General features: G+C 35.8%; 1 pseudogene; it reads left to right on the top strand.

Annotated features, from left to right (window-relative positions):
• Positions 5,324–7,824, top strand: NAMPTP1 (nicotinamide phosphoribosyltransferase pseudogene 1; annotated as a pseudogene).

Here is an 8,642-nt window from a genome sequence, read left to right as displayed (position 1 = left end):
TTTCTACTCCTAGTTTGCTGAGTGTTTTTAGAAGGTAAAATGGGTGTTGAATTTTATTAAATTTATTTTTTTTGTTTAGTGATGTGATCATGTGAGTTTTCTTCTTTAGTCTGTTTTGATTACATTACATACAAGTGATTTATTACATTAACTGACTTTTGAATGTTGAGCCAGCCTTGCATACCTGGGGCAAATCCCACTTGGTCAGGCTGTATAATTATTTTTATACACTATTGGATTGATTTGCAAATATTTTATTAAATATTTTTGTCTCTGTTTTCATAAGAGATAGTGGTCTATAGTTACCTTTTTTATAACATCTTTGTCTAGTTTTGGTATTAGGGCAATGCTGATGATTTCGAATGAGTTAGGAAGTATCCCTTCTGCTTCTTTCTGCTGGAAGAAAACATAGATAATTGGTATAATTTATTCCTCAAATGTTTGGTATAATTTATCAAGGAATCCATCTAGGCATGGTGGTTTCTGGTTCAAAAAGTTATTTATTGTTGACCAAATTTCTTTAATACCCTTTGGCTATTTCTTTTTGTGTGTTTTGGCAAATTGTGTCTTTCAAGGAATTGGCCTATTACACTTACGTTATTAACTTGTGGGCAAAAAGCTATTCACAATATTCCTTTATTATCTTTTTAATGTTTACAGGATCAGTAGTGATGTCCCTTCCTTCGTGTCTGATATTAATAATTTGTGCCCTCTTTCTTTTTTCTTAGTTAGCCTGCCTACAGAATTATTGATTTTTATTTATCTTTTCAAATTACCAGCTTTTGGCTCCAATTATTTTCTCTATTGATTTCATATTTTCAGTGTTACTGATTTCTGCTCTAATTTTTTATGTTTCTTCTGTATACTTTGGATTTAATTTACTCTTCTTTTACTAGTTTCCTAAGATGTGGGCATAGATGATTGATTTCTTTTTTCTATGATATGGATTCAAACTTGTAAATTTCCCTCTGAACACTACTTTTGCTGAACGCCATAATTTTAGTAGATTGTGTTTTCATTTTTACTTACTTCAAAATATTTTTATATTTCTCTCAATATTGCTTTTTAAAGTCATGTGTCATTTAGAAATATGTTGTTTAATCTCTAAGTATTTGGGGTTTTTCCAGTCATATTTCTGTGATTAATCTCCAGTTTAATTCTGTGGTAGTCAGAACAGACATTGTGTGATTTTTATTTTCTTAAACTTAAGGTTTTAGGTTCCAAATGCGGTCTATCTTGGTCAATGTTTCCTAAGAGCTTGAAAATATTTACTCTACTGTTGTTGGATGAAGTAGTCAATACATGTTCGTTATATCCAACTGATTGGTGGTGTTACTGAGCTTTACACACACACACACACACACACACACACACACACATATATATATATATATATATATATTTTTTTTTTTTCAGATGGAGTCTCACTCTGTCTCCCAGGCTGGAGTGCAGTGGCTCGATCTTGTCTCATTGCAACCTCCATCCCCCAGGTTCAAGCAATTCTCCTGCCTCAGCTTCCCGTGTAGCTGGGATTACAGGCGTCTGCCACTGTGCCTGGCTAATTTTTGTATTTTTAGTAGAGATGGGGTTTCACCATATTGGCCAGGCTGGTCTCGAACTCCTGACCTCAGGTGATCCACCTGCCTTGGCCTCCCAAAGTGCTGGGATTACAGGCATGAGCCACCGCACCCAGCCCCAAGCTCATTCTTATTAATAATATACCTACCAATTCATGTGCAGTGCAAGTAACTTATAATAACAAAGTAATTTGAACTCCTCTCTCCTTTGTTTCATTGCTACCATTTATTTCATTTATATGTAAACATACATAAGTATGTGTGTGTGTCTCTGTGTGTGTATGAGCATGAATACTGGCATATGTTGTTGCTACTATTATTTTGAACAAGTTGTCATACAGTAGATCAATTGAGAATAAGTAGACTCCAGTTGCACACCTCACAGAGTTGATGTTTCTCCACCCGAAGACAGGGTATTTACCTCTCTCTACTTGCAGATTTTCTCCAACTATGCTTTGGGCAGACCTTACCCTCTTTTGAGCTTAGAGCAATAAGCTAGAGAATGCCTGCTTCCTGAAATAAGAACTTTAGATTTCTCAAAATACTTTTTGTGCACTTTTTCTAGATTATTGTGAACCCACACATTAGGTCTCTTACTCTCCTTGAGTTAACCATCCATTGGTATCTCATCATACACTATATATACTCGTTGGATGGCAATGATATACAACTACTTGTTATACTTTTGTGCTAATTATATTAAGAAATAGACTGAGCACGGTGGCTCATGCCTGTAATCCCAGCACTTTGGGAGGCCGAGGCAGGTGGATCACCTGAGGTCAGGAGTTTGAGACCAGCCTGGCCAACATGGTGAAACCTCGTCTCTACTAATAATACAAAAATTAACCGGGTGCGGTAGTGGGTCCCTGTAGTCCCAACTACTTGGGAGGCTGAGGCAGGAGAATCTCTTGAACCCAGGAGGTGGAGGTTGCAGTGAGCAGAGATTGCAACACTGCACTCTAGCCTGGGCGACAGAGTGAGATTCCATCTCAAAAAAAAAAAAAAAAAAGAAAAAGAAAAGAAAAAAGAAAAAGAAATAACAAAAATTTCCTCAAAAATTTATAGCATTGGTGTTACATTATGAAAAGATTTGAAAATACATCAATTTCATCAAAGTTTCACCGATGAAAACTGTCAAAAAGGTAGAATTAAGACACTATTGCTCCATATTTAATTTCACATGACAGATATACAGGGTTGATGTAGCCGAGCCATTTGATTTAAAATAAATGTACTGATAATTATTTAAAATGGGCAGGTCCTGTTTTTAAAGTTTATAATAAAATTTAATCAAGGAGAGTATCAAGGAGGCTATGACTATGAGATAAAGGGTAAATATTTTACCCTTTAAGTAGGAAACATAATTAGAAGTCATCATTCCAATCACATCTAATTTGCAGAATGGCTTACTGCTCTATGAAAAAAATAAAAAATAAAAAAACATGAAATGCCTTAGAATGCTATGCTGTATTGACATACCTCAACTCTCAGTAGACAAAAATTAAATCAGTTAACTATGTCTTTTTAAAACTCCATAAGATTTAATGTGACCATGATATTTTTGCTTCTTCCTCTATTAGGTGTGAACTCTACTATGAGTTTATAAAGGTGTTTTGGGAGAAACAGAATGCAGTCTTTGCCAAACATGACTGAGTAAGGATTTATAGAGGAGGATTTGTATAACTTAAGTCAATAAAGTCCCCAAAAGGAGTAATTGGAACATCTGGAGTCAATAATCTCATAGGACTAGTTCCCCCTGCTCAACTTCTCTTTTCTTTTGCTTCCTGGCAGGTTGTACAGCCAATAACTCTAGGAAGTTATATTTGGTTTGAGAATTAAAATATATGTGGAGATGCAGCTGCAAATATCAGCTTAGGGTCAGAATGAGATCAACTATACAGAGAATTTCAGAGATGGATGTTGGAAATCAAATCATTTTATGTGTATTTTTTCCACAAAATAAATAGAACCATTGTTAGAAACAATAACATTTTAAAAAACAATATTTAAATAAAACAAGCACAGATCTTCTATAAAAAAGATCTGGACTTGTGAAGTCAGGATCACGTATTAATCTGATTCATCTCAATGCAGATCCAATTGTTGAAATACAAAGGAGCATTTTACCTAATCTTGCCAAGTACATTAAAATTGAGTTGAGGAACCAAAATCAGAAATTTTGAAAAAGAATGAGCTCTTCACTTCCTTCCCTTTAGAATATTGTATCATTTTCTAACCAGTTGCTCAAGCCAGAAACCCAATAGTTATCCTTGACTTGTTTCCTTATCATTGGTTTTTCTAAATATGAAACATAAAAATGAAGACTTGGGATTCTTTTTGCATTTTCTTTTAATATAATTTTGCTTGTTGGATTTAGTAGAATGAGGTCAAGAAGTGTAGAGATTTTTGCTTTTTTTGTTTCCAATCTGCACAGCGCCTGAAATGATAACCAGTATGTTGGAGGTGCAAAAAAATATTTGTTGAAATGTTCATAGGTGACATCCCTGAGCAGTAAAAGATGCAATGAAATCAGTCTATATTTACCATGATATGAAAAAAATAGACAAAAGTTTTTCACTTCGGGTAAGTTACTTAACTTTTTCAAATCAAAGTTTTTACAAAGTAGAGGTTAATAAGAGTACCAATAACATATGATGAAGATACACATCATTGGTGCTCAAATCCTCTCCTCACTCCTCTTTCTCCTAATGTATCCTCATTGGGCAATAGAAGGCATGAATGCTGGCACAACCAAAAGAAAATAGCAGTTTTCATGGCGGCATGACTGAGGTAAAATGGAAGCACTGGCTCACTGGGAGTAACCAGAGACAGAGTGAGCGGGGTTGGGGTGAATGAAAGGCTCAGAATAGTGTGAGTGTCAGACAACAGAGTTCAGCCGGGAATCATTTTCTGAAAATAGCTATTGCAGGCAGTAGACCCTCCAGGGTATTATCTTATCCAAACATATTTGCCATTCCCTAGTAAGGGGGCTAAGATATGGCGGGGTTGGCGGGGGGGAATTCACATGCCTTGATTTATCTTTGTCATTTTTTGATCTGAAGTTCCATCAAAGATTGATTAGTTGAAATTGTCAGACACTGAACCACAAAGTGGCTACTAACTTAGCAACTTAAATAGACAAAGTTTGAGAACAGTATCAACTCTGCAGCCTGCAGTGACTGCCACCAAAACATATAATATGATTAAAACTCCATTACTAAGATACAGGACTATCAGCTCAATATGATCACCACCTGCTGGGAACTGGGATCTCTAGGGATATGATACACAGAAAAGAAGGAAAGAATGAGAGAGAACAAAGAAAGAACAACACATATACCTGTAAAATCATAAAATATCATTCTCTCAGAATTTCAACCCTGGAATCACATTATCAAATGCACATAAAATCAGATGTTTTCATTCTAATCATGTCTGTTATTATTTGTGACCAAATATCCATTCCAAGAGCAGAAGAGATCATTTATTTATTAGCTGCTTTGGAATATTTACTTATTAAGAGGTCTTTTAAAAGTTCCATTCCTGGCGGGCCCCAGCGGACTCCCGGGCTCCGGTGCTCGGGGCTCGGGGCTTGGGCGTCGCCGGCGAGCGCATGCCCTTCCCTGAAGCGCGGCCTCTTGGCCTGGAGCTGGGACCAGTTAGGTAACGGCCCCAGGGGCCCGCAGTGGAGAGTGAGCGGGGCTTTCCCTGCTGGGCCAGCCCGGCGCGCACGCCCCTGGCTGGGCAGGTTACTCACTATAAACAATATCCACCCAACACAAGCAAAGTTTATTCCTACTTTGAATGCCGTGAAAAGAAGACAGAAAACTCCAAATTAAGGAAGGTGAAATATGAGGAAACAGTATTTTATGGGTTGCAGTACATTCTTAATAAGTACTTAAAAGGTAAAGTAGTAACCAAAGAGAAAATCCAGGAAGCCAAAGATGTCTACAAAGAACATTTCCAAGATGATGTCGTTAATGAAAAAGGATGGAACTACATTCTTGAGAAATATGATGGGCATCTTCCAATAGAAATAAAAGCTGTTCCTGAAGGCTTTGTCATTCCCAGAGGAAATGTTCTCTTCACGGTGGAAAACACAGATCCAGAGTGTTACTGGCTTACAAATTGGATTGAGACTATTCTTGTTCAGTCCTGGTATCCAATCACAGTGGCCACAAATTCTAGAGAGCAGAAGAAAATATTGGCCAAATATTTGTTAGAAACTTCTGGTAACTTAGATGGTCTGGAATACAAGTTACATGATTTTGGCTACAGAGGAGTCTCTTCCCAAGAGACTGCTGGCATAGGAGCATCTGCTCATTTGGTTAACTTCAAAGGAACAGATACAGTAGCAGGACTTGCTCTAAATAAAAAATATTATGGAACGAAAGATCCTGTTCCAGGCTATTCTGTTCCAGCAGCAGAACACAGTACCATAACAGCTTGGGGGAAAGACCATGAAAAAGATGCTTTTGAACATATTGTAACACAGTTTTCATCAGTGCCTGTATCTGTGGTCAGCAATAGCTATGACATTTATAATGCGTGTGAGAAAATATGGGGTGAAGATCTAAGACATTTAATAGTATCGAGAAGTACACAGGCACCACTAATAATCAGACCTGATTCTGGAAACCCTCTTGACACTGTGTTAAAGGTTTTGGAGATTTTAGGTAAGAAGTTTCCTGTTACTGAGAACTCAAAGGGTTACAAGTTGCTGCCACCTTATCTTAGAGTTATTCAAGGGGATGGAGTAGATATTAATACCTTACAAGAGATTGTAGAAGGCATGAAACAAAAAATGTGGAGTATTGAAAATATTGCCTTCGGTTCTGGTGGAGGTTTGCTACAGAAGTTAACAAGAGATCTCTTGAATTGTTCCTTCAAGTGTAGCTATGTTGTAACTAATGGCCTTGGGATTAACGTCTTCAAGGACCCGGTTGCTGATCCCAACAAAAGGTCCAAAAAGGGCCGATTATCTTTACATAGGACGCCAGCAGGGAATTTTGTTACACTGGAAGAAGGAAAAGGAGACCTTGAGGAATATGGTCAGGATCTTCTCCATACTGTCTTCAAGAATGGCAAGGTGACAAAAAGCTATTCATTTGATGAAATAAGAAAAAATGCACAGCTGAATATTGAACTGGAAGCAGCACATCATTAGGCTTTATGACTGGGTGTGTGTTGTGTGTGTGTGTGTGCATGCACACACACACACACCTTTGTGTATGTAATACATAATGTTTATTGTACAGATGTGTGGGGTTTGTGTTTTATGACACATTACAGCCAAATTATTTGTTGGTTTATGGACATACTGCCCTTTCATTTTTTTTCTTTTCCAGTGTTTAGGTGATCTCAAATTAGGAAATGCATTTAACTATGTAAAAGATTAGTGCTAAAGTAAGCTTTTTAGGGCCCTTTGCCAATAGGTAGTCATTCAATCTGGTATTGATCTTTTCACAAATAACAGAACTGAGAAACTTTTATATATAACTGATGATCACATAAAACAGATTTGCATAAAATTACCATGATTGCTTTATGTTTATATTTAACTTGTATTTTTGTACAAACAAGATTGTGTAAGATATATTTGAAGTTTCAGTGATTTAACAGTCTTTCCAACTTTTCATGATTTTTATGAGCACAGACTTTCAAGAAAATACTTGAAAATAAATTACATTGCCTTTTGTCCATTAATCAGCAAATAAAACATGGCCTTAACAAAGTTGTTTGTGTTATTGCACAATTTGAAAATTATGTCGGGACATACCCTATAGAATTACTAACCTTACTGCCCCTTGTAGAATATGTATTAATCATTCTACATTAAAGAAAATAATGGTTCTTACTGGAATGTCTAGGCACTGTACAGTTATTATATGTCTTGGTTGTTGTATTGTACCAGTGAAATGCCAAATTTGAAAGGCCTGTACTGCAATTTTATATGTCAGAGATTGCCTGTGGCTCTAATATGCACCTCAAGATTTTAAGGAGATAATGTTTTTAGAGAGAATTTCTGCTTCCACTATAGAATATATACATAAATGTAAAATACTTACAAAAGTGGAAGTAGTGTATTTTAAAGTAATTACACTTCTGAATTTATTTTTCATATTCTATAGTTGGCATGACTTAAATGAATTACTGGAGTGGGTAGTGAGTGTACTTATCTTAAATGTTTCAATTCTGTTATATTTTTTATTAAGTTTTTTAAAAATTAAATTGATATTAAATTGTAAAAAAAAAAAAAAAAGTTCCATTCCAACAAAGTTTTTCTGCACGAGGTTATCAGGACATAAATATTCCAAAGTTTTTATTCACTTCAGCAGTTCAGGTTAGTTCTTCTAACTTGAATTAATTCTGTTAGTTCAAATAATAGACCATAAACTCTGATTAATGAATGAATATCAATGTTGTTTTATTAAAAGTATTATTAATTCTTATCAAAGTGTGTACTGTGTTCACACTTAAAATCCATAGAACCTTGTGGTCACCTATTATTTATTTCATGGAAGGTACTTGTGAGGATGCATTACATTGAATTGGCTTTTATTTCTACTCACAGTCCAGAGACTGGAATGGGAATACCAAGAGTACAGTCTTTAATAAATTTAGAATATGGTCTGGTTTGGGGGGCAAATGATGTGCCAATGCTGTAACTTTGAAACAAACTTTACTCTTTCTGTTTGATTATGGTTCAATAGCTTACAAAATATGTTCTTTTGGATTTTCATCAAATTCTTACATAGTAGAAGCTTAAAATATATTGTTATATTAAGTAGGTATACCTTGACTTATTTTTAGTAACTTATATCTTTTAGAACAGTTTTACTTCATAACAGTTTACAGAATTATGTCAAACAGTATAAGGAGATTTTGCACAAATACCCACACTCCTTTTTCTCTATTATTATTGTTATTACTATTATTACTGTTTTTTTGAGACAGAGTCTCGCTCTGTTGCCAGGCTGGAGTGCAGTGGTATGATCTTGGTACACTGCAACCTCCGCCTACTGGGTTCAAGCGATACTCCTGCTTCAGCCTCCCAAGTAGCTG

This window comes from Homo sapiens, chromosome 10, assembly GCF_000001405.40.
Source record: "Homo sapiens chromosome 10, GRCh38.p14 Primary Assembly".
In the NCBI taxonomy this organism is placed as follows: Eukaryota; Metazoa; Chordata; class Mammalia; order Primates; family Hominidae; genus Homo; species Homo sapiens.
Note: the sequence above shows the minus strand (reverse complement) of the source record. Positions and strands in the feature narration are given on the sequence as shown.